General features: G+C 39.5%; 1 long non-coding RNA gene across 13 annotated transcripts in view; it reads right to left on the minus strand.

The window, feature by feature from the left end:
• Nucleotides 1-26,819, minus strand: part of TTTY10 (testis expressed transcript, Y-linked 10) — a 110,070-nt gene that overhangs the window by 57,293 nt on the left and 25,958 nt on the right. For 10 of the 13 annotated variants that reach the window (NR_197942.1, NR_197938.1, NR_197937.1 and 7 more), the window contains exon 2: nt 1,530-1,702. The exons of the other annotated variants lie outside the window; for them this stretch is intronic. This is a non-coding gene — a long non-coding RNA (testis expressed transcript, Y-linked 10). The remainder of the gene's footprint in view (nt 1-1,529; nt 1,703-26,819) is intronic. 13 annotated transcript variants of the gene reach the window in all.

Genomic DNA, 26,819 nt, shown 5'->3' on the forward strand with positions numbered 1-26,819 from the left:
CTGGCTTATAGCCAAAAGACAGGCAATAACAACTGGCTTATAGCCAAAAGACAGGCAATAAGAATTTCTGACAAGGATGTGGACAAAGACAGGCAATAACAATTGGCTTATAGCCAAAAGGATGTGGAGAAAGGCAATAAAAATTGGCTTATAGCCAAAAGACAGGAATAACAATTTCTGACAAGGATGTGGAGAAGATGGAACTTTGTATGAACAGTTTTGAGGTCTCTCAAAAAACTAAAAATAGAGATACCATATGGTCAACTAATCCCATTGCTGGGTATACACTCAAAAGAAAGAAAATCAGTGTGTTGAAGAGTTTGTTATAGCACTGTTCACCATTGCTAATATCTGAAAGCAACCTGTGCCTATCAACAGAATAAACTTCTATTATTATTTAAGTTAAGTTGATGTTAGCCTCACACAGATTCTTCAGCAACTATTCCAGTAGAATACATTGTTGTCATGGGAGATAACAGCTGCACACCTGTCATTCAAAGATGTAAGACAGCTCCACACCTGTTTACTTGAAAAGCTTTCAGTAAGACAAGGTGTGAAGGTGGAAAGTGGCTATATTGACATGTAACACAGTACAGGCCTAGTACAACATGCATGTTTGTAGCTCAGTTTTTATAATGTTGTAAATGTAAAAAAAAAATTAAAAACATTCATAAGAATGTACAGAAATAAGATATTGTTTGTGCACCAGTACAATATACTTGTATTATAATTTTAAGTTAAATTATTAGAATATAAATTTTAACAGAATTTCCAAGTTTATGGAGTGAAAAATCTACAGTATCTGGTAAGTTTTTGAAGAATGACACTTTATAAGATAAATTTAATGCAGCCTAAGTATATAGTATTTATAATGCATAGTAGTGTACAGCAGGGCACTGGGCCTTCACATTCATTTACCATTCACTCACTGACTTACCCAGAACATCTTTCTGTCCTGCATTCTTCTCTCATTGTAAGTACTCTATATAGGTGTACCATATTTCACATCCTACATAACATGTTTACTGTACTTTTTAAATTTTTACACATGCTTAGATGTAAAAATACTACTTTGTTATAATTGGCTTCAATATTTAGTATAGTAATAAATAGGATTGCAGCCTACAATGGATAGGCTATATGTTATAACTTTGGCATGTAGTAGGCTATATTTATTTGTGAAAGTAAACTCTAAATTGTTCACTCAATAATGGAATTGCCAAAAATGCCTTTAAATCATTAAAAAATGCTTTAATGTATTTGTAATTAGTTTGCATTGGTGGTGCCAGTGGGAGAATGGGAAGCTTGTCTTACTTTTTCCTTCAATCCACACACTTTCTGTAGCCCCAGAGTAGTTAATTTATAGTATTTATTTTCTTAGATGATGCATTACTAGGGCTTTTATAAGGGAAAGAGGAAGTGGCAGGAACTCCCAGAGAAACAGGGTGTAACCACACTAAAAAATTGAAAAGCAGTTGCTCTGGTTTCTCTTCTAGCAGGATGCTATATAACATGCTTTTTTTTCTTACCTCTATAGACCTTTGAATTCAATAGCAAATATTTTCTGCAGGACTCCTCCATGTCATCTAGGTTCAGACACTCACCCAGCATCTCTTTATTCAGGCATCAACCTGTACTCTGCATGTACATTGCATGTACATCTACCACAATGTTTGGTCCTTGGTGATGTTGTCGAACCTATCTATAGAAGGAACAGGTGGTCAAATGTTAATATGCTTTTCAACTTGTTCCACTAGTGTATTAAATAGATGCATTTTATCCATATACACTAGCCTCAATGTATTCTCTCTCTCTCTTTCCTTTTATTGTCTATTAGATGAACAAACCGAGGCAGAATATCTTGCCCCTAGGATTCCTGTCTGTAAAAACCAACAGTAGCATTTTCATTTGTTCCTGGGACATTACAGAAAATGGGGGGCACTTGCTCAAGAGATTTCCCACCGTGAACACTGAGAAAGAATCCATGTTCAAAACTTAGAACTACATTACTGTAGGCTTCTAGGGGTTTCTGGGGATAGCAGCTAGGAATGGATGAGGGAAAATCTTAAACTGGATTATCTCAGGTATGGAAGGTTAAGTTATTCTATCCTGCCCTGCTTCTCACTCTATTCTGCCTATTCCTTTTCTTTGGTTTCAGTATTGAATGCAAGACAGTATTCCCTTTGCTAAGTGTACTGCTGGTCTAGAAAATATTTAGTAATATGCAGATTGTCTAGCAGGATGATTTTTAGGGGTTCACATTTTCTAGTTTATAAGATCTTTCCCTGGAAACATCTCTTTCCCAATATTAGATATTGGCCAATATCCAAGTTGCAGCTTTGAAACCTTAGGAAGTCTCTTTGGACCACAGTGCTTATGTAGATTGCCTTTCTTCAGAGGAGATGCAGAGAAATGCTTGGGAAATGCATTTCCCCCATCTTGACATCTAATTTAGAACAAAAATATTTTCTCACCTAGAAAAATATTGTTTCCTTTGAAAGGAGACAGTTCTCAGTCTTCTTTGCAACTTCCTATTAACCAATGACTGCTTTCTTACTTTACCCTATTCAAACTGTTTTCCTGCATGGGAGAGTTGTGCCTTTTTTCAACCTCAATTACCTTTCTGAAATGTAAAGGGAAAGGGAAAGCTTTCTGACTTAATTATAATAACTCTAGGCTCTGGCAATGTGTGTTTGATTCTTTCTGGAGATAAAGTACACTACCATGTGTTTCTTCCTCTTGAGAGCAGTAAAAAGTGGAGTGGGAGCCATTGAGATGAGAGAAAAAGGAAATCATAACTCTCTGATGTATTTTGTGCTGGTGATTTCTCCATCAGGGAGACAAGCTTGAGCTTAATTACTGTCCAATGGAGTTAAACCCCTTGGCTGGGGAAGGGGAAATCTCCCATGGCATGTGGCAGAATATGCCAGCCAGATGCCCTGGGTGCCTTGGGTCATGCATCCCAGCCCAGCAGGGAGGGGAGAAGTGAAAAACTGCTGCTCACTAGTCCGTCTTGTAAAAGGAATGAAGGCCATGTAAAGGACCCAGACCCCTTAAGCTCAGATGTTCGAAGATAAAAAGGCTTACAAACCACAGTGAGAGGTTTTGATTCCCTATTTTCCTCACCACTTCTTCAGGCCCCACATGGCATGCCTAAAAATATCGCAGGACATTTCCTTAGTTCAGCTAAAGATAAGATCCTTGTCTCATAACCACAAAAATTTAGTCTCACAGATGGTTTGAAAGGTGAGTAAAGCAAGGCTTTATTGGGTGAAATTTTTTTAAAAAAGGAAAAATAGGGACTCTCCACAAGGCTAGAGTTCCTCTCATTTGCTTCCCGCCTCACAGTTTGAATCCCAGGTTTTACACAGGAATAGGAGGGGCAAGGCTTCTCCCCACTGCAAATGTCATGAACTTCCGTGGCTCCATCTCAGTGTGCATTCCTCCCAGTGTGCAGGTTCGCTGACATTTTGCAAGAAACCCCCTCACAACTTTCTGTCTCAGCATAAAATCAGAATAAAGCTATCATTCTTTCTTGTGGTCTTTAGTGCAGCTCTCTTTCTAAAGTCCTAAAAGATAAAGACAAATGCAATAGAAATTGCCACACATTGCTTCAGTAATGTTCACAAAACCATAATGTTTTAGAAGCCACTCCTCTCTTTTTTTCCCCTAAGTTGGATACATATTTAGAGTATCCATGAGACAAATTACAGGAATACAAGCTGTCTCAAATCATTAAAACCACATGGGCATCCCACCCAGAAAGCTGGCTAAGTGACTTGGTGTCACCTTGTTCACAGCAGAAGTTGTAGTCTACAGCCTCTATTCTTGCCACCAAACTTTTGATTTCCAATGAGAATTAAAAGCCCACAGTTCCAGCATGCAGGCCACATGTCTGAAAACAACCTTTAAAACTACAACCCAGAACAAAGGAAGGGACTGTGATTCTTAGAGAAGTAAGTGCTTTTCAACTTCAAATCTCAGGCCAAGCATAGGCTCATTTAGGAATTTGGTGCCACTAGCATGAGGCAAAACATATATTAGAGAAGACTCACTCTGAAATAAAACCATGTAACAGGTTTTTACCAGAGAAACTAAGTGACCTAGGCTGAGTAGGCAAAATGAGCCCAGCAGCCCCCAGTCAAACTTGGGCAAAAAAGTCACCAGCCAATAAGTTTTTCTGTGACACTCACAAGGCTAAAGTTTATTTTCCCCTGTGGATAAAGCAGTTTTTATGAAAAGAAAATAGTAAAATAACTATTTCATTGGTCTCTTTTTTCATAATCAAGATAATCTTGAATTAGTTAACAGCATAAAAATTTTTATATCAACACTAGTAGCAAAGTCAGCCAATTCAAACTAAGCAAAAAATACATATGTAAGCAAAAGTATGTATACTTTATAGTTGTAGACTTTTAAAAATAACGATTTGTGGACCAGACACTATGGCTCTCACCTGTACTCCCAGAACTTGGGGAGCCTGCGGCAGGCAGATCACTTGATCTTGGGAGTTCAAAACCAGCCTGGCCAATGGTATGAAACCTGTCTCTAAAAAAAAAATACTAAAAATTAGCCAGATATGGTAGCATGTGCCTATAGTCCCAGCTGCTCAGGAGGCTGAGGCATGATAATCACTTGAACCCAGGAGGCAGAGGTTTTAGTAAGCCAAAATTGCACCACTGTACTCTATTCCAGGTGACAGATGAACATGGTCCTGACATAAAGCAATACAAATAAAAACAAAATAACTATTTGAGCACTATACATGAAATGTTTCTTGATGTAATTTGGCCATTCAATATAAAATGTGCACTAAAACAGGCCATCCTTTGTAACTAGATGAAGTCTAAGAAAACTTGGCAAACAATGTTTAAGAGTTTCATTTTGATAATTTCAATGTCATTTCTCTTTTGGTAAGTTTCTCTAGTTCAGGGAGATATTTGATGGATTGCTGATTAAAAATCAGTTCTCTGGTGCCTTGTCTTTGTTTTGATTTTCATTTTAAATTATTTGTTTCTCATCGGTACAGCTACAGAGAGAATTTTTAAATCCAGACTTTTAAAAATCACAAACTTTATCAATGAATCTTGAGTCCCTAGAAAGAAGTATTATGACACCAGAGTAGAGATGGAGACAGTTTTTGGGTGTTTTGTTTTGTTTTGAGACAGAGTCTCACCCTTTCACCAGGCAGGAGTGCAGTGCCACAATCTTGGCTCACTGCAACCTCCACCTCCAGGGTTCAAATTATTCTCCTGCCTCACCCTCCCGAGTAGCTGGGACTGCAGGTGTGCACCACCATGGCCAGCTAATTTTTATATTTTTAGTAGAGATGGGGATTCACCTTGTGGGCCAGAGTGGCTTCGAAGTCTTGACCTCATAATCTGCCTACCTTGGCTTCCCAAAGTGCTGGAATAATAGGCGTGAGCCACAGTACATGGCTGAGAGTTTTAAGAGAGATGAAATGGGGTGGTTCCAAGATGGCCAAATAGGAACAGCTCCAATCTACAGGTCCAAGCCTGAGCGACACAGAAGACGGGTGATTTCTACATTTCCAACTGAGGTACCAGGTTCATCTCACTGAGGCTTGTCAGCCAGTGGGGGCAGAACAGTGGGTGCAGCCCACGCAGCATGAGCCAAATCAGGGTGAGATATCGCCTCACCCGGGAAGTGCAAGGGGTAAGGGAATTCCCTTTCCTAGCCAAAGGAATCCGTGACAGACAGCACCTGGAAAATTGGGTCACTTCCACGCTAACAAAGTTTTTCCAATGGTCTTAGCAAACGGTACAAAAGGAGATTATACCAGGCGCCTGGCTTGGAGGGTCCCACACCCACAGAGCCTTGCTCATGGTTAGCACAGCAGTCTGAGATCCAGCTGCAAGGCTGCAGCAAGGCTGGGGGAGGGGCGCCCACCATTGCTGGTTGGTAAACAAAGCAGCCAGGAAGCTCAAAATGGGTGAAGCACACTTCAGCTCAAGGAGGCCTCCCTGCCTCTGTAGACTCCACCTCTGGAGGCAGGACATAGTCAAACAAAAGGCAGCAGAAGCCTCTGCAGACTTAAATGTCCCTGTCTGACAGCGTCAAGGAGAGTAGTGGTTCTCCAAGCATGGAGTTTGAGTTCTGAGAATGGACACAGTGCCTCCTCAAGAGGGTCCCTGACCCCCTGAACACCAAGTAGCCTAACTGGGAGGCACCCCCCCAGTAGGGGCAGACTGACACTTCACATGGCTGGGTACCCCTCTGAGAGGAAGCTTCCAGAGGAACGATCAGGCAGTAGCATTTGCTGTTCAGCAATATTCACTGTTCTGCAGCCTCTGCTGCTGATACCCAGGCAAACAGGGTCTGGAGTAGACCTCCAGCAAATTCCAATAGACCTGCAACTGAGGGTCCTGACTGTTAGAAGGAAAACTAACAAACAGAAAGGACGTCCACACCAAAACCTCATCTGTACATCACCATCATCAAAGACCAAAGGTTGATAAAACCACAAAGATGGGGAAAAAACAGAGCTGAAAAGCTGAAAATTCTAAAAATCAAAATGCCACTCCCTCTCCAAAGGAACACAGCTCCATGCCAGCAAAGGAACAAAGCTAGATGGAAAATGACTTTGACGAGTTGAGAGAAAAAGGCTTCAGAAGATCAAACTTCTCTGAGCTAAAGGAGGAAGTTCGAATGCATGGCAAAGAAACTAACAACCTTGAAGAAAGATTAGATGAATAGCTAACTAGAATAAACAGTGTAGAGAAATCCTTAAATGACCTGACGGAGCTGAAAACCATGGCATGAGAACTACGTGACAAATGCACAAGCTTCGGTAGCTGATTCAATCAACTGGAAGAAAGGGTATCAGTGATTGAAGATCAACTGAATGAAATGAAGCAAGAAGAGAAGTTTAGAGAAAAAAGAGTAAAAAGAAATGAATAAAGCCTCCAAGAAATATGGGACTATGTGAAAAGACCAAATCTACGTCTGATTGGTATACCTGAAACTAACGAGGAGAATGGAACCAAGTTGAAAAACACTCTGCAGGATATTATCCAGGAGAACTTCCACAACCTAGCAAGGCAGGCCAACGTTCAAATTCAAGAAATACACAGAACGCTACAAAGATGGAGAAGAGAAACTACAAGACACATAATTGTCAGATTCATCAAAGTTGAAATGAAGGAAAAAATATTAAGGGCAGCCCAGAGAGAAAGGTCGGGTTACCGGCAAAGGGAAGCCTGTCAGACTAACAACGGACCTCTTGGCAGAAACTCTACAAGCCAGAAGAGAGTGGGGGCCAATATTCAACATTCCTAAAGAAAAGAATTTTCAACCCAGAATATCATATCCAGCCAAACTAAGCTTCATAAGTGAAGGAGAAATAAAATCCTTTACAAACAAGCAAAGGCTGAGAGATTGTGTCACCACAAGGCCTGCCCTACTAGAGCTCCTGAAGGAAGCACTAAACATGGAAAGGAACAACCGGTATCAGCCACTGCAAAAACATGCAAAATTGTAAAGCCCTTCGATGCTAGGAAGAAACTACATCAACTAACGAGCAAAACAAACAGCTAACATCATAACGACAGGATCAAATTTACGTATAACAATATTACCCTAAAAGGTAAATGGGCTAAATGCTCCTATTAAAAGACACAGACTAGCAAACTGGATAAAGAGTCAAGACCCATCAGTGTACTGTAATCGAGAGACCCATTTCACATGCAGAGACACACATCAGCTCAAAATAAAGGGATGGAAGAAGATCTACCAAGCAAATGGAAAACACAAAAAGGCAGGGGTTGCAATCCTAGTCTCTGATAAAACAGACTTTAAACCAACAAAGATCAAAAGTGAAAAAGAAGGCCATTACATAACGGTAAAGGCATCATTCAACAAGAACAGGTAACTATCCTAAATATATATGCACCCAATACAGGAGCACCTAGATTCATAAAGCAAGTCCTTAGAGACCTACAAAGAGACTTAGACTGCACACAGTAATAATGGGAGACTTCAACACCCCACTGTCAACATTAAACAGATCAACGAGACAGAAATTTAACAAGGATATCCAGGAATTGAACTCAGCTCTGCACAGAACTCAGTTCTGTAATAGATATCTACAGAACTCTCCACCCCAAATCAACAGAATGTACATTATTCTCAGCACCACATTGCACTTATTTCAAATTTCACCACATAGTTGGAAGTAAAGCACTCCTCAGCAAATGTAAAAGAACAGAAATTGTCAGAAACCGTTTCTCAGACCACAGTGCAATCAAACTAGAACTCAGGATTAAGAAACTGACTCAAAACCACACAACTACATGGAAACTGAATAACTTGCTCCTGAATGACTACTGGGTACATAACGAAATGAAGGCAGAAATAAAGATGTTCTTTGAAACAAGAACAACGAGAACAAAGACACAACATACCAGAATCTCTGGGACACGTTTAAAGCAGTGTGTAGAGGGAAATTTATAGCACCAAAAGCCCACAAGAGAAAGCAGGAAAGATCTAAAATTGACATCCTAACATCACAATTAAAAGAACTAAAGAAGCAAGAGCAAACACATTCAAAAGCTAGCAGAAGTCAGGAAATAACTAAGATCAGAGCAGAACTGAAGGAAATAGAGACAAAAAACCCTTCAAAAAATCAATGAATCCAGGAGCTGCTTTTTTGAAAAGATCAACAAAATTGATAGACTGCTAGCAAGATTAATAAAGAAGAAAAGAGAGAAGAATCAAATAGATTCAATAAAAAATGATAAAGAGGATATCACCACCGATCCCACAGAAATACAAACTACCATCAGACAATACTATAAACACCTCTATGCAAATAAACTAGAAAATCTAGAAGAAATGGATAAACTCCTCAAAACATACACCCTCTCAAGACAAAACCAGGAAGAAGTTGAATCTCTGAATAGACCAATAGCAGGCTCTGAAATTGAGGCAATAATTAATAGTTTACCAACCAAAAAAAGTCCAGGACCAGATAGATTCACAGCTGAATTCTACCAGAGGTACAAGAAGGAGCTGGTACCATTCCTTCTGAAACTATTCCAATCAATAGAAAAAGAGGGACTCCTTCCTAACTCATTTTATGAGGCCAGCATCATCCTGATACCAAAGCCTGGCAGAGACACAACAAAAAAAGAGAATTTTAGACCAATATCCCTGATGAACATTGATGCAAAAATCCTCAATAAAATACTTGCCAAACAAATCCAGCAGCACATCAAAAAGCTTATCCACCATGATCAAGTGGGCTTCATCCCTGGGATGCAAGGCTGGATCAACATACTCAAATCAATAAATGTAATCCAGCATATAAACAGAACCAGTGACAAAAACCATGTGATTATCTCAATAGATGCAGAAAAAGCCTTTGACAAAATTCAACAACCCTTCATGCTAAAAACTCTCAATAAATTAAGTATTGATGGGATGTATTTCAAAATAATAAGAGCTATCTATGACAAACCCACAGCCAATATCATACTGAATGGGCAAAAACTGGAAGCATTCCCTTTGAAAACTGGCACAAGACAAGGATGCCCTTTCTCACCACTCCTATTCAACATAGTGTTGGAAGTTCTGGCCAGGGCAATCAGGCAGGAGAAGGAAATAAAGGGTATTCTATTAGGAAAAGAGGAAGTCAAATTGTCCCTTTTTGCACATGACATGATTGTATATCTAGAAAACCCCATCATCTCAGCCCAAAATCTCCTTAGCTGATGGGGAACTTCAGCAAAGTCTCAGGATACAAAATCAATGTGCAAAAATCACAAGCATTCTTATGCACCAATAACAAAGAGAGAGCCAAATCATGAGTGAACTCCAATTCACAATTGCTTCAAAGAGAATAAAATACCTAGGAATCCAACTTACAAGGGATGTGAGGGACCTCTTCAAGGAAAACTACAAACCACTGCTCAACAAAATAAAAGAGGATACAAAAAATGGAAGAACATTCCATGCTCATGGGTAGGAAGAATCAATATCATGAAAATGGCCATACTGCCCAAGGTAATTTATAGATTCAATGCCATCCACATCAAGCTAATAATGACTTTCTTCACAGAATTGGAAAAAAATTACTTTAAAGTTCATATGGAACCAAAAAAGAGTCTGCATTGCCAAGTCAATCCTAAGCCAAAAGAACAAAGCTGGAGGCATCATGCTACCTGACTTCAAACTATACTACAAGGCTATAGTAACCAAAACAACATGGTACTGGTACCAAAACAGAGATACAGACCAACAGAACAGAACAGAGCCCTCAGAAATAATGCTGCATATCTAGTCATCTGATCTTTGACAAACCTGACAAAAACAAGAAATGGGGAAAGGATTCCCTGTTTAATAAATGGTGCTGGGAAAACTGGCTAGCCATATGTAGAAAGCTGAAACTGGATCCCTTCCTTACACCTTATACAAAAATTAATTCAAGATGGATTAAAGACTTACACGTTAGACCTAAAACCATTAAAACCCTAGAAGAAAACCTAGGCAATACCATTCAGGACATAGGCATGGGCAAGGACTTCATATCTAAAACTCCAAAAGCAATGGCAACAAAAGCCAAAATTGACAAATGGGATCTACTTAAACTAAAGAACTTCTGCACAGCAAAAGAGACTACTATCAGAGTGAACAGGCAACCTACAGAATGGGAGAAAATTTTCGCAACCTACTCATCTGACAAAGGGCCAATATCCAGAATCTACAATAAACTCAAACAAATTTACAAGAAAAAAACAAACAGCCCCATCAAAAATTGAGTGAAGGATATGAACAGACACTTCTCAAAAGAAGACATTTATGCAGCCAAAAGACACATGAAAAAATGCTCATCATCACTGGCCATCAGAGAAATGCAAATCAAAACCACAATGAGATACCATCTCACATCAGTTAGAATGGTGATCATTAAAAAGTCAGGAAACAACAGGTGCTGGAGAGGATGTGGAGAAATAGGAACACTTTTACACTGCTGGTGGGACTGTAAACTAGTTCAACCATTGTGGAAGTCACTGTGGCAATTCCTCAGGGATCTTGAACTAGAAATACCATTTGACCCAGCCATCCCATTACTGGGTATATACCCAAAGGATATAAATCATGCTGCTATAAAGACACATGCACACGTATATTTGTTGCAGCACTATTCACAATAGCAAAGACTTGGAACCAACCCAAATGTTCAACAATGATAGACTGGATTAAGAAAATGTGGCACATATACACCATGGAATACTATGGAGGCATAAAAAATGATGAGTTCATGTCCTTTGTAGGGACATGGATGAAACTGGAAACCATCATTCTCAGCAAACTATCACAAGGACAAAAAACCAAACACCGCATGTTCTCACTCATAGGTGGGTATTGAACAATGAGAACACATGGACACAGGAAGGGGAACATCGCACACTGGGGCCTGTTGTGGGGTGGGTGGAGGTGGGAGTGATAGCATTAAGAGATATACCTAATGTTAAATGAGGAGTTGATGGGTGCAGCACACTAACATGGCACATGTATGTATATGTAACTAACCTGCACGTTGTGCACAAGTACCCTAAAACTTAAAGTATAATTAAAAAGAAAAAAGAAAATGTGGCACATATACACCATGGAATACTATGCAGTCATAAAAAACGATGAGTTCATGTCCTTTGTATGGACATGGATGCATCTGGAAACCATCATTCTCAGCAAACTATCACAAGGACAAAAAACCAAACACTGCATGTTCTCACTCATAGGTGGGAATTGAACAATGAGAACACTTGGACACAGGAAGGAGACCATCACACACCAGGGCCTGTCGTGGGGTGGGTGGATGGGGGAGGGATAGCATTAGGAGATAAAGCTAATGTAAAAGACAAGTTAATGGGTGCAGCACACCAACATGGCACATGTATACATATGTAACAAACCTGCACGTTGTGCACATGTACCCTAGAACTTAAAGTATAATAAATTAAAAAATAAATAAATAAAAGAGAGATGAAATGAAAAGGAGAAGCAAGCAAAGAAGAAAAGAAGTTGTCTGCACCATTTTATTTTATTTTCCTAGTTAATGGAGTATCTTTGTTCCAACTGAGCATACAGGTCAACTAATTTACAGGTTTTACATGGCTTTTGCTTAGACAACCAAAGTCTTCTCCCATTTGGGGCCAAATATTGTTACACAGACTGAAAATACACATAGTTAAACAAAAGTCAGCATTAGATTAGACTGAGTTATAAGTGGTTTCAGCTTTTTAGTATTGCTTTTATTCTGTGAGACATGAACCCAAAGAAAATTCAAAATCTAACCTGACCAGGATCCCATTTTTTTTTGTTTGTTTGCTTGTTTGTTTGTTTGTTTGTTTGCAACTTCCACCTCTTGGATTCAAGCAATTCTCCTGCCTCAGCCTCCTGAGTAGCTGGGACTACAGGCCTGTGCCACCATGCCTGGCTAATATTTGTATTTTTAGTACAGACTGGGTTTCACCATGTTGGCCAGGCTAGTCTCGACCTCCTGACCTCAAATGATCTGCCCACCTTGGCCTCCCAAAGTGCTGGGATTACAGGTGTGAGCCACTGTGCCCCACTGATCCTCTAGATTTTGGCTTGAATCCACAGTCCTGGAAAAGGGTGGAACTGAAACTCACAATCATAGGCCACAATGGTGAGAAACCAAAACCCATAATACCCATAACAAAACACTTCTAGTGTGGGGCATAAGCCCACAATTCTAAAATGCAAGGGTGGTTTCAACCTTATAATCCTATAATGAGATCAAACACAAGTAAAGGTACAGGCATACATTTTAATAAGGTACTTACCAGAAGGCATCTAATATGAAAGCAGTGTCTTTTGCCATAGGAGATTAGACCTGAGGGGGCCTCAGGGAACATAAAAGACACTTAAGAGCATCACAGTGCAGAATCAAAAACTCCACACCAAGCCTCTAGAGAAACTAATGTAGATGGTCACTAAGGGTTGGTGAAATGGGCCTGCATTTCACCAAGGAGCTTCAGCACCCCAGATAGGTTTAGTCTCATCTAAGGTGCCAGGCTGTTATTGAGCAAAAAAGTGTTTGCTACTTAACACATTAGAAGACAATACCATGACACTTTGTTTTTGAGAAAAGAAATGCTTTCTATTTCAAGTCCACTCAAAAGAAGACAAAAATATCAAGCTCAAATATATCTTCTTGTACTGGCTTAAAACACTATTTTTATAAAAAATATTCAGAAGGTGAATACTGAAATTAACAGGAGACTGGCTGGAAGAAAAAGAAAGTCTGGAAAGTCCTTGGGTATGTGTGCTTATTGTTTATGTTGCATGTGGGCCTTACGTGAAAGTTTGAAAAAACTTCTTACAAAATATTTGGTGGAAATTTGGGTTTTGACATCAGCAAGCTTGTTCTGCTAAGATTCACTAGACTGCCTTCATCTTTTGGGGTCTTCCTTATTGTCCTTCAGGAAAGGAAATAGTTGCCACTTTTGAGGATTTGAAGCTCAGGATTTTTCTTTTACTTTATCTACATAAAAAGCATACTAATATAATTTTTTATTCCTTAGAGTAGGTAGAAGTGGAATGGCAACAATGGAGATGAGACAAATATGTCTCCAAATGGAATGGCTACTACTACTTTGATTTGTTTTTAATAATGTTATACGGGAATATAGAAAAAGATGCTGAAAGTATGAAAACTTTCACCAGCATTCCATAATCTCTCCAAAAATAAAACCCCCAATTTACTTTGTATGTATTGGAAAACACAAATAACCTCATAGAAATGGAATAAGGTGAGGTGAGATTTATGTCTATCAGGTAAGAGAAAAAGAGTAGATTGTCATAGAATAAAGAGTTTATTTCATATTTGAACTTAAAATAGTGAGGGCAGCACACCAAAAATAGAAAACAAACCCAGGCAAAGCTGACAAAAAGGCTCTTATAGCTTTAGTTGTATTGTAGGACTACAAAAGGAATAGAGTAATCTTCTAAATTTTGAAGAAATACATTTGTGAGCCAATATAATCTTCTATTCTCATCTTGGGTAAAATAAAAGGAAAATCTTGAGTCCAGATTTCTCAGTGTTACAACAACAGAAATTTCCTTTCATAGAAAAAAATAAAGAAGTCCCAAAAGGTAAATGTAGTAAAAACATTCTGTAAATTACATTGAGGACTTACTGTAAAAAATATATATATATTCTCCTGTTCAAGTCATTCAGTAAATGATAAATTATTATAAATATATAGATAGTCTAGAAATACTAACACAATATTTTTAAAATCATATGTCAATAGTCTTTTTTTTTTTTTGAGAAGGAGTCTCTCTGTCACCAGGCTAGAGTGCAGTGGCACAAACTCGGTTCATTGCAACCTCTGCCTCCCGGGTTCAAGAGATTCTCCTGCCTGAGCCTCCTAAGTAGCTGGGATTACAGACACACCCCACCACACCCAGCTAATTTTTCGATTTTTACCATGTTGGTCAGGCTGGTCTCGAACTCCTGACCTTGTGATCTGCCTGCCTCAGCCTCTCAAAGTGAACAATCTTTTCAAAATGTAGCACTGTATCTTTCTTCTTTTACAGATTCCCAAGAGAAAGAAAGCTGAGAAAGAACTGTTCTCTGTTCAATCCGACAAGTCACACAGATTTCTCATGATTTCCAAGAGACATCTTGTGTCCTCCAATTGTTGAATATCCAAGAGCTCCTCCCTATTTCAGAGTGACATATATAAACCCCCAGAAAGCATCTGGGATGCTGAACATCAGTTTGTTTCTTTGTGCAAAAATTAGTATTAGAAAGAGGACACATCAAATAGCATGACCTCAGGATTAGTCTACCATTCTCTTCTGGTATTCAATACAGGTCACTTTCTAAATCCCTAAGAGAAAGTGGCAATTGGAGTATGATTGCTGCTTCTTGCTTCAATAATCTCACAAATCTATTTTGCTATAGCAATAATTTATCTAATTATTTTCTCTTAACTTGGTCATTTAACAGAAGTAGCTATGGTATGCTCAAGAGAAATACAGCCTTCCAAAACCATTGCAGCCACCTGGGCATTTCACTCAGTTTGCCAGTCAATTTGATCCTGCATTGTTCATAACAGAATTTGTAGTCTATGACTCCTACTCTCATCCCTAGTCCTCTGGTTTTCCCATGAAACCTGAAAAAACACAATTTAGTGTGCAATCCCCAGGTGTGCAAAAATTTAGAACTACAACACACCAGGAAAGGAGGAGCTTCAACTCATGAGCAAGTGCATGGTCTTGAACTTCTTCCTGGACACTTTTAACCAGGAAAACCACAGCCAAAGGAAAACCTCAAAATCAATGCCTACTGTCATGCTAGAGATATGTCTCCAATTTCAATCAGAGCAGTGGACTGGAACTCCTCTACTAACTCAAGAAAAAAGACCTCCAAAACTTTAAACTTGGCCAGGGTGAAATGGCAGATTCTCTGTAGTGAGAAAAGAAAACAGTTAGGCAGTTAGGGTGCATCCTGGATAAAGCTCCTTTAACAGAGAAACAGCCTGAAAAATCAGGCTGCAGGGACAGATAAGGGTGCTAGCACAGGAAACTGGCCCAGAGACATGCATGCAACTGTACTAGTAAAGGAACAAGGTGCAATATAGAATGCCTCAGTCCTTTGTACCATAGACATGCTCACAGCTCAAATGAAAAAAGAATAAGGCCTGACATAGAAACACCTCAGTTCTTTGTGCCTCAGAAATGCCTGAGCTACACTGATAAGAGAGAAGCCCTAACATAGAAAAGCCTTTGCCTTTGGTATAACCATCAGGCTCCCAGAAAATAGTATCTTCTTTTGTGGGCATGTATACGGTGGGGTGTGGTGGGCTCTAGTGGAACTTTCTTTTTTTTTTGGACATGCTTTGGACTGTGATCCCAGCCTCTGTGAATCACCACTTCAGTCCCTGATTGGTCCCAGGTCAAGCTCCAGTATTAAAAATACTGCACTCATTCATACCAGGCAGAAGTCCCCACAGCCCAAGCTTAGTAGCACTTTCAACAAGACTTCCCAGAGATCAATCAGCACATTTCCACCCTTCCCAGTTCATTAAAATCTTGAACTTAGCCTCACTGTTGGCAAACATCTCAAGCCCCCTCTCTCCATCGCAGAGAGCTTTTTTTCCCCACTTATTAAATTTTCACTACAACCTCACCCTTGTTTCCAGACTTCTTAATTTTCTTTATCATGAAAAAAAGAACTCCTGATGATACCTCACAACAAGGGACTGCTACTTTGTGGTGCATTGGTGAGACTGTAACATCTTTGGTTCATTGGCCAGGAAAAAGACCCATCAAAAGAGTGAGTAGAAGTGGATTCTTAACTTTTTACTTTCATTTCTGACATTTCTCAGCCTCAGTATTTTCAAGAGTAAGTGAAACACTGGGCCCCTGTCAGCCAGTTAAAAGCCAGTAGTGTGGCTGCAAGCCCTAAAAGACTAAGGAGACAGGTGTGCTGGAGAGGATTTTGCCAATCCCATTTTACCTTAAAATGTTGAGAATGTTGGCTGTGTTTCAATTTAATTTTCTTTCACTGACTGCTATGGCTGTTGGCTCTGTGGCTTCATAACCTAAAGGCCCATGGACTGGCCCTATTGGCTGATAGTATTTCAGGGAGTTTTCACTAGGATTTCCAGCCTTTCCCATTGCATTTGCTTTCTTTCTTTTCATTACTATTATGGCTTCTATCCCTTCTTTAAGTACAAAGTTGTGAATATTTTTGCAACCTGAGAATATAATCTTCTTGGGTAAAATCAGCTGTTTCTTAGTAATCAGGAATGTAATTCAAAGAGTTACTGATTTTGTGATTTTCTAGAAACAATAGGAACTTAATGTTTTAGTCTAATTTTTCACCTTTAAGGGCCTTTTTGCCTCAATAATAAACATTGATGGCACTGAATGGGAAGATATTCCACTGAGTGAATACCCTTCTATTTGTTTTTTTTTCTTTCCTCCCTGTAAGAATTCAGCACTGCTCAATGAATCTAAATGCCTCCTTTATTTTTTTTTGAGACAAGTTAATTTTCTTTTGCTGCAAGGCATACTGTGGGGACAGGTTTGTCAAGCCCCAAATATCTCTTTCTAAATTCTGTCTGGAAAGAATTTGGAATCAAAGTTACCTAACATTTCAAACCTTACAGCTCCACATAGTGGAGTGGGATTTTCCTCTGTGGGGAGCCTTGTTGACCCCTCACACCAAATCTTTACTTTCCCAATTATTCTTCCTCCTACATTCCTCTAACAGTGATCAGACTCCATAACTGATCTATAGGCAGAAAACTTTCACTTTCAGAAGTCAAGAGGAAGCTGCTCTTCAGAGCAGTACCCATCAAAGAAAAAATACCCATTTATTCCTATGTTCTTTCAGGTACCTGTTCTGCATCCAGCTACACTGGCTTTTAAATAAACAATGGATTTTATATTTGGGAATCAATTCATCCATTTTCTCTAGGATTTCACTATTTCACTAGGGACATGGCAAAGGAAGCCAGGGACAGTATTAAGACACTCTTCATTAAAGGGCCTCCCCAAATTCAACTACTACATAATCCCTCCCAGGCTCCTGGAATACCTCGGGAGCATTTTTGAAATGAGGAATCACCAGCAGAGAGCTAGGGTATCATGCACATAAACATGATTACTCTTGCCAGCTAGTTCCTCCAGATCCATGGATGAAGGTCATGATTGAATTCATGGATGACACTATGATGGTCACCAGGCCTCAGAGGACATTTAAGGGAAGAAATTATGGGAGACACTTTTTCTATTTTCTTTCCTCCTTGGGTAATTACTTCAAATGAAAAAGAAACTAAGGTACACCTTCTTTTCCTCTCTCTTTTAGATGAGTAACAAACCATCTTCAGCCTGCAGTCTTCTCAAATGCATTCTGAAACACTAAAACTGCTGTGACCCTCAGACTCTAAGAAAAAAATTCCTCATTTTTTTTGCACAAGATTGTTGCCATCTTACCAACTGCAGGAAGGGCAGAAGGTCTGGCCTCCTGAGAGAAGTGTTAATTTCAATACTATCCAACAACTAGATCTTTCTGCTAATGGGAGAGAAAATGATCCAAGTTTCCATATGTACAAGCTTTCTTTTCCTTGTGAGACAACCCAGATTTTTATAAGCATTGTAAAATTGACCCTGCCCTCTTGGCAGTCATATCAGACAAACCTACAAATGATAATTCCCCAAAGTCAGAAAGACAAATTCCTGGGGAACCCTCTAATGCACCTTCTGGATGCCCTACCTGATCCCCTTACCTGGGGTTCCATTTACCATTTTATGAGATCCTCTGGATATGCCACCTAAGTAACACACCCAACTTCACTGTTGCCCTTACAAGAAATGTCTGATGGACATGGTGCTACTATACTTAAACTTTCTTTTCCATTTCAGGACCTTAGACAAATAAAGGGGGACCTAGGCAAGTTTTCTATGATCCAGATAGATATGTAGAGGCCTTCCAAAATTTAACCCAAGTGTTTGATCCTACCTGGAGAGATGCTATGTTACTTCTAAACCAAACCCTAACTGTCAGAAATACAGGCAGGCCTACAAGAAGCAGAAATATTCAGAGACAACATATCTCCTGTAGCAGTCTAAAAGTCTACAAGGAAAGATATCTAGAAGAAGATATGCTAAAAGAGCAAAGCAAGGCCAGGCGTAGTGGCTCATGCCTGTAATCCCAGCACTTTGGGAGGCTGAGGCGGGCGAATCATGAAGTCAGAAGATCTAGACCATCCTAGCTAATATGGTTAAACCCTGTCTCTACTAATAATACAAAAAAAATTAGCTGGGTGTGGTGGTGGGCACCTTTAGTCCCAACTACTCGGGAGGCTGAGGTAGGAGAATGGCATGAACCCAGGTGGCAGAGGTTGCAGTGAGCCAAGATCCCACCACTGCACTCCAGCCTGGGCAAGAGTGTGAGACTCTGTCTCAAAAAAAAAAAAAAAAAAAAAAAAAAAAAAGAAAGAAAGAAAAAGAAAAAGAAAAGAGAGAGAGAGAGGAAAGGAAGGTGAACAAATAGCAAAATCTCCATTCCCAATAGGGAGGAAGGCAGTGCCCCTTTGAACCTGTAATTGGAATTCCATTAATTATGTAGATGAGCGGAAAAGAAAACACTTTCTAATGTGCATACAGGAAGGCCTATGAGGGACTATAGCCAGACATTTTCATTACTCTCAGCTATCCATGATATATCAAAAGCCAGATGAAAATCTGTCAGCTTTTGTGTAAAGGTGGAGAGAAGCTTCAGTGAAACACATCTCTCTGTATTTTGATTCTGTTAAAAGACAGTTAATCCTAAAAGAAAAGTAAGACAAGTTCAAACAGGCCACCTGTTCAAACAGCACCCTAGAGAACTTCCTAAAAGTGGCTACCTAAGTCTTTTACAAGGAGCTAGGAGGAGGTCCAGGAGAAAAAAGAACAGAGGCTCCAGTGGCCTCATTATAGGCCTAAAAAATCCAGGATTCATGAGGTGTGCCTGCTAACTGCTACCAATGTGGAAAGCCAGGACATGTTAGCAAGAACTGCTGTGACAAAAAAAGGAAGCCATCTTGACTCTGTTCAGCCTATGATGGGGTCCACTGGAAGTAAAACTGTCCCAGGAAACATAAACCAGCAGGTCTGTGGGTGCAGTCTCCCAGATAGTACAGCAAGATGGAGAAGTCCCAAGACTCAGTTCCCTTGCACCAACGGCTCAAGCTGCCATCACTATCCAGGAGCACTGGGTGATTCTGGAGATGGAAGGGAGAAAGGTAGACTTCTTTCTGGACACTGGAGTTTGTCTCTCTGTTCTCCTTTCTAATCTAGGCCTTCTATTCTCCCATAGCACAAATGTGGTGAGCATTTCCAAAAAAAATTCCTTAGCTATCTCTTTCTAAGACCTTTGTCATAGTTAGGGAAACCTGCTATTTACCCATGTTTTTTAAAACCATGCTTGACAGTCACAATTCTTAACTAGGTAGAGATATCCCAGCCTATATGTGAGCCAGCATCCTAATGACTCCAGAACAAAGTCTTTATCTTCATTTCATGGAAACCTGTATTAACCCAGAAGTATGGGCAACTCCAGAAAAAATTGGCTGGGCTAGTCATTGTACCAGTACAGATTCACCTTAAGTATCCCACTTATTTTACTAAATATCTCCTAAAGTCAGAATCTAGGAAAGGGCTAAAAGCCTTCATTGATAACCTAAAAGCACAGGGCTTTCTTAGGCCCTGAAACAACCCTTGCAACACCCCAAAATTAAAAGGGCGGAAACACAATAGGAAATGGAGGCTAGTTCAGGACTTCTATCTCATTAATGAGGCTGTGGTTACACATCATCTGCTAGTTCCTAATCCTTATATATTGCTAACTTTGAGGGAATCCAAAGTTTCACAGTTCTAGACCTGAAGAATGCCTTTTTCTGAATACCATTGCACCCTGACTCTCAATACTTGTTTGCCTTCAAAGATTCCCCAAAAGACCACCCAGTTAACCTGCATGGTGCTGCCTCAGGGATTCTGAGACACCTCTCACTTGTTTGTTTTGGCATTTCCAAAAGACCTCTCTGAATTCTCTCATCTTCAGATTAAAATTTTACAGTATGTTGATGACATTCTACTTTGTGTCTCAATTGACAGGGCTTTGCAGGAAGGCACTAAAGCTATTCTTAATTTCCTAGGTGACAGAGGGTATAAGATTTCAAAATCTAATGCTCAGCTTTGTCAAATTTCAGTAAAGTATCTAGAGGAGATCAGAACATTGGGTGAAGAGAGAATTAAGTGGAAAATTTCCCCTTTTCCCCTTTCCAAGCCCCTCAGCTAGGTGGCTTTTTGGGCATTATAGGTTTCTGCAGGTTGTGGATACTGGGGTACAGCAAAATACCTTGCCTCCTACATGGCTTTGTGAAAGAAACTCAGAAAGCTAAAATTCACTCCCTGACCTGAGAACCTGAGTTTCAAAAGGCTTTTAACCAATTAAAACAAGCCTTACTTAAAGCACCTGTCACCAGCCTTCCCATAAGAAATTCATTTAATCTTTATGCCTCAGAAAGGAAAGGGATAGCCTTGGCAGTTTTTACTCAGGCCCAATGTCCAGCCCAGTAGCCAGTCAGTTACCTAAGCAAGAAGATCAACTTGGTGGCCAAAGGATACCTAGCTTGCCTCTAAGCAGTTTCAGTAGTGGCCTTGTTTGTTTCAGTAACTAATAAGGTGACCATGGGGAATGTCTTAACTGTTCACACACCCGTCATGTAGCAGGACTGCTGCACTCTAAAGGAAGATGCTGGCTAGCAGAAAATTGCCTTCTCAAATATTAAGCTTTGCTGCTGGAGGGATCTGAAGTTCAGTGAAAAACCTATCCTTGCCTAAACTCAGCCAACTTCCTCCCAGAGAAAACTAAACAAGCTGAACATGACTGTGAACAGATAGTAGTCCAAACCTAAGAAGCCATGCAGGACCTTAAAGAACTTCCCTAGAAAACCCAGACTAGACCACTTTTAATAATGACACCTCTTTTGTAGAACAAGGAACCCAAGAAGCAGCATATACTCATGGAACAATAGCAACCCTGGGTGAAATTATTGATGGTATGTCTCTCTCACAGGCGCCAGTGCTCAATTAGCTGAGTTAATTTGCCCTCATGAGGGTGCTCAAACTAAGGAAAGGAAAGGTCGTAAGCATTTATACTTATTCTAGATATGCTTTTCTGGTTTTTCATGCCTTTTTGGAAAGAAAAACACTCACTAACTCCTAATGGTTATCCCATGAAATACCATCAGGAAGTTGACAGAATGTTGTCCTGTTTTTCTTTCACAGAGAATGGCAGTAATATATTGCAGAGTTTACCAGAAGTGGATAGATAACATCACTGAGGGAAACAGACTAGCAGATTAAGCAACTTAGTCAGCAACAAAAAGATTAGAGTGATGTTACACACTCGAAGCTCTTCCAAAGTGGGAATTTTCCAAAGAGAAAATAAAGCCTCAGTATTTCCCTGCAAAGATAGAATAGGCTACTTCTGAAGGATACATTTTTCAGTCCTTGGATGGTTACAGTGGATGGAAGGAAAATTCCACTTGTCATCCTCCAGTCAGTGAAAAGTTCCTGATGTCCTTTACCAAGGTTTTCACTTAGGAAATGATAAAACCTACCAAGTAGGCCAGAGATTGTTCTCAAATAAAAATATGATAAAAACAGTAAAACAGATTTTTAATACTTGTGAAACCTGCCTTAAAAATAATTCCCTCTAGAGATGGCTTCTCTGCCAGAGCTCAACTTCACTAACTAGGTAAAGACATTTCCATGCCAAACAGAAAAGGGCTCTTAGTAAAAGCAGTAATCAATGAGATAATTACTCTCTTTGAACTCCCTCAACACTTCCAAAGAGACAATGGCCCCTCATTTAAAGCAACTATTACCCAAGGTGTCTCAAGAGACCTGGGCATACAATGCTATCTTCATTGGGCCTGGAGACCACAGTCTTCAGAAAAGACGGAGAAAATAAATAATATTATTAAAAGACTTACCAGGAAGCTGTCTCAAGCAACTAACTCTCTCGGATTACTCTTCTTTTCATGGCCTTAATCTGGATGAGAAACACCTTTTTAAACTTGTTGAGTCACTTTAAAAATGGTATATGGACAGGCTTAAATAAACAAGATTTCTCATTAGATCAGGAACTTATGAAATGGTTAAACATATAACCTCCCTAATCCACTTCCAATGTGAATTAAAACTATTATCAGAATTCCATCCGTGAGAACTGCACCTAACTCGTTTTAACCCAGAAGACTTGGTACTGGTTAAGGCTCTTCCCTTTTTTTCCCTGTCTAGACCCAGTTGGGAGGGACCTTATACTGTCCTCCTCTCCAACCGCTCAGTGGTGAAGTTTGCAGGAATCAACTCTTGGATTCATCATGATCTAGTCACAGCTTGGAAAGCAGAGACAGCAGCCCCTAACAATCAAGAAAAATTTAAATGAGTAAAACTTCAGAAGGAAATTATCTACTACATCATACTTATAGGAATTATTTTGCTTACTTTTTTTTTTCAGTAGGGTTTTACACTGTGGCACCTTCTGAGTGGAATATTGACCAGAGTCTCAACAGCCATAAACTTTTGCTGAATTATTATCCTTATAGCAGAAATAGTAGTCACAGATTAGATTATGTTACTATCAAGTTTACTAACATTCACTGTTAAATGGAGCAACGTTTCACACCCCTTGGCTCTTACAAAATCAACAATCACTCATCTACACAAAAAGACTAATTTCTGGGTTTGCCCTAATTGTTGAGTTCAATATCAGTGAGGGATCTTTTGCTGTTTCAGAACTCACTGTTAGCTCTACCTTTATACATTATAGACTTTCAAGGTATAAATAGAACATGGTATGAGTGCACTTTTGACTCCAGTTGAAAGATACATCCCTCCAGGGTAAGAAATTGGCCAAGCTTTCACTTCAGCCCGTGACTGTTCCCAGGCCTAGGTTCTGGGCCAAGCTGAGTAGGCTTCTCCAAGACAGGCTGCAGAGCAGACAGCACATTCTTCCCTTTCTCAGTTCATAGAAACCCTTGACTCAGCCTTATATTGGGCAATCCTCTTAGGCCTCCTCTCCAGTGTAAAGAGCTTTTTGTTGTTGTTATTAAACTTTTGCCACGACTTCACACTTGTGTCTACACTCCTTAATTTTCTTGGTTGTGAGACAAAGATCTCTGGGTCTACTCACAATGAGAGACAAGGAGAGACTGCTACATTGTCTTGCATTGGCAAAACTGTAACAGTAGCATCTCAGTCCCAAGAGCAGTTTTATCTGCTAAAGTTCAGAGCCACCAAGAGTAGGCATAGTACATCCTGGGGAGGACTCATCCCAAAAGTAATGCAGTAGAACAGGCTTTTGTGCCACAAGCAAAGAGGCAATTTTTATGTACCCAGGCAATTTTAAGTGACCCAGAGTAGTAAATTCAAATATTTTAGTACACTGAGTAACTGAGTAGGTGCAGAAGGCAGGCTTCTCAAATTTTTTTATCCAAAATACAGTTTTATTCAAACAGAAGACAGTCTAATATAAATGATAACCATGCTCTGCTGAAGCAAGAATAGGTAATGAAATTCTGCAATTACAGTAAACTCTTCTGCTTAAAAAAGCAGTGGATTATATGAGTTGCTGATAAAGTGCTAGAGGATAAAGAAGGGTAAGATGATATAGACAAGGCCAGGATCTGGCTATTTTGGGAAACAGGAACAGCTCTAGATGTGGCTGAAGGCCATATAGACATATTTGATATTTAATAAACTAAAGTGTTATTTTCTTTTGCTCAGTATATCCCAGGGCTTTGGACAAGAATAACTTGAGTGTCACTACTTATAAAATCAGGCGATATCAATTTGGAATGAAGGATAACTTACTTCTACATCTAGCCAAGCTAAGCTAGGGTATAACTTCACTAGCCAAGTTAGATGCAGGCAGTGAACTACATAGTCTGCTGTAAGTATATTTTTTGTTAGATTATATAACTATATTTTGCCAGCACAGAGGAGACCCTGAACTAGTTGCCCACTAGAAGGCCAGTTCTGGGGTTTTCGTGAATTGGAAAGGATAATTAATGTGTTTAGTCTGTGGGCTGTCTTGGAGATTATGTGACTCAACTTTGCCTGGGATGAATCAAGGGGACAAGTGAAAATTTATAGAGGTTGATTAGCTTGGTCAGGACCTATTAGGAGCTGAAGTAAAAACTTGCCCCAAGACCTTGGCCCAGGACCAATCAGAGGCTGAAGTGATAATTCATATAAGGCCAATTCTCAGTCCAAGAAAAGGAAACTGCCCACTGAAACTACTAAAGCCCACTGTGTTCATGCCAAAAAAAGGGGAAGACACTTTTTACTGAGAGACCACTGACTATACAAAGGGCAAAGTCATCATTATGCCAGGTCTTGTTCCCTATCTGAATGAGCTGAAAGTTTGGGTAAATTTTTATCCAGTTGGACTGGTGGTACTTTTATTTTGCAGCTGCAGGCATGTCTCCAGGCAAAACATCCTGTGTTACTTTCCTTATCTGTGCCCACAGGTTGATTTACATTCCAGGCTGCTTTTTATGTGTTGTGGTGATGAGGCATTGACTTACAGGTTGGGGGCTGAGGACCCTTCCCTTGCTATCTACCTAACACAAGCCAACTAACTTGTTTCAGTCCCCCCTCAGTAGTAGAGACAATAATTGCTGTTAGGGAAATTGGGTCTTGATCTTTTTGGCTACTTCCTGCTGGAAAGTAGTGTTGTATAGGAAACAGCAGCTTCTGGGGCCAGTTTAAGGGTCCTCAGAAGAGAGGCACATCCATACATGGTCTCAATTGAATTATCCTTTGGAGCTCGATAGTTTTTAGGTGAGAGGGAATAATTCAAGTTATAGTAAGTATGCAAGCTCCAAACATTAACAGAAAACATAAAAAAGAGAGGTCCTAGTAGAAGAGCTAACCAGGTCCAAAATGAAGACGAATCCATTCAAAAGGGACTGTACCAACTGGAAACAGAGTTTTAGTTTGTCCTTAATTTGTTAATAATTGTAATTTGGTTTTGACGCATTTGTAAATTTTTCTTTTCCTGACTGGAACTGTTGACCCAGAAACAGTATGTTTTATTTAAGACTGCACAGGCGCCCCCTACTTTAGTCATAAAGACATTAAGAGTTTGTTTATTTTGCTTTACACCAAGTCTAAAAAATGTAGGGATTATTGTTGGGCTTCTATGGCTGCTACAGTTGCTTTCCACCCTTGTACCATGACAGAAATATTAGGAACCGATATTTCAAAAAGGACATATCACCAAACTAAAATAGTCCTGTGGCTATTGCATGTCCTAGTTCTGTTTTTTTTTTTAACATTAAATCAAATTGTCACATGTATGTCCTTTTCAGTTTTCTGTTTTAGTTAAATTTTCATATGATAGCATAAGGATAAGTAATCTTTAGTTTTGCTGTGTGTAAGAGAATGCACTCTCTCTAAAAAAAAAATAAAAAAATGTATTAAAAAAATAAAAAAATCCCAGATTGGGGATTTCACCCGGCAATGCTACCGTGATAGAGGGGTTTAAAAATAACAGAGTGGAAACCACTGCCACTATAGTGTATGTTCCTTTTTAGTGCCTGGGGAGGATTAAGTGTAGCCGGGAGTCAAAAATAAAGTCAAGTCCCATTCCCTGGAGAAATAGTTCTATGCTGTAGTTTAGGGAGATTTTAGCTGGATTTAGTTCAGGCCTTTAAGGTCACCTTCCCTACATTTAATGGGAGTATTCTCAAGATAAGTATATTTATACAAGTATAAGCATCCATGGTACCATTTTGAACTTTACGTGTTGGATGGAAAACTTTTTTGGCAAATATATATTTAAGATTATGAACACAATATGTCCTGGCTAGTATCTTAGATAACCCTTTTTACAGGGGTTATTGTTCCAGATATCCCCTGTCCATTCACAAATTTGCAGAGTACTACCATTATTAAATATTATACAAGAGTCTGGAATTTCATGTGTGGGCAAATTTTGGAAAGACCATATGTTATTTATTACCTGATAATACAGTTGGCAGGGGGTGGCATTTTTGCCCAGGGTAGCAATTCCCAGTGAGAATTCCACCTGGGAAGTTTGGCTAGATTGTTAGAGAAATTTCCATAATCTAGCCCAATGTTTGCTATTACCCTTGTTTCTTCTTAGTCTCTAGATCACTGTGCTTTTAGCAATTATAAGCATAGTGTTGCAATATTTAGTTTCCAAAGTCTGGTATTTTTCCTCTGCTCTTAAAGCA

This window comes from Homo sapiens, chromosome Y (genome assembly GCF_000001405.40).
Source record: "Homo sapiens chromosome Y, GRCh38.p14 Primary Assembly".
Taxonomy (NCBI): domain Eukaryota; kingdom Metazoa; phylum Chordata; class Mammalia; order Primates; family Hominidae; genus Homo; species Homo sapiens.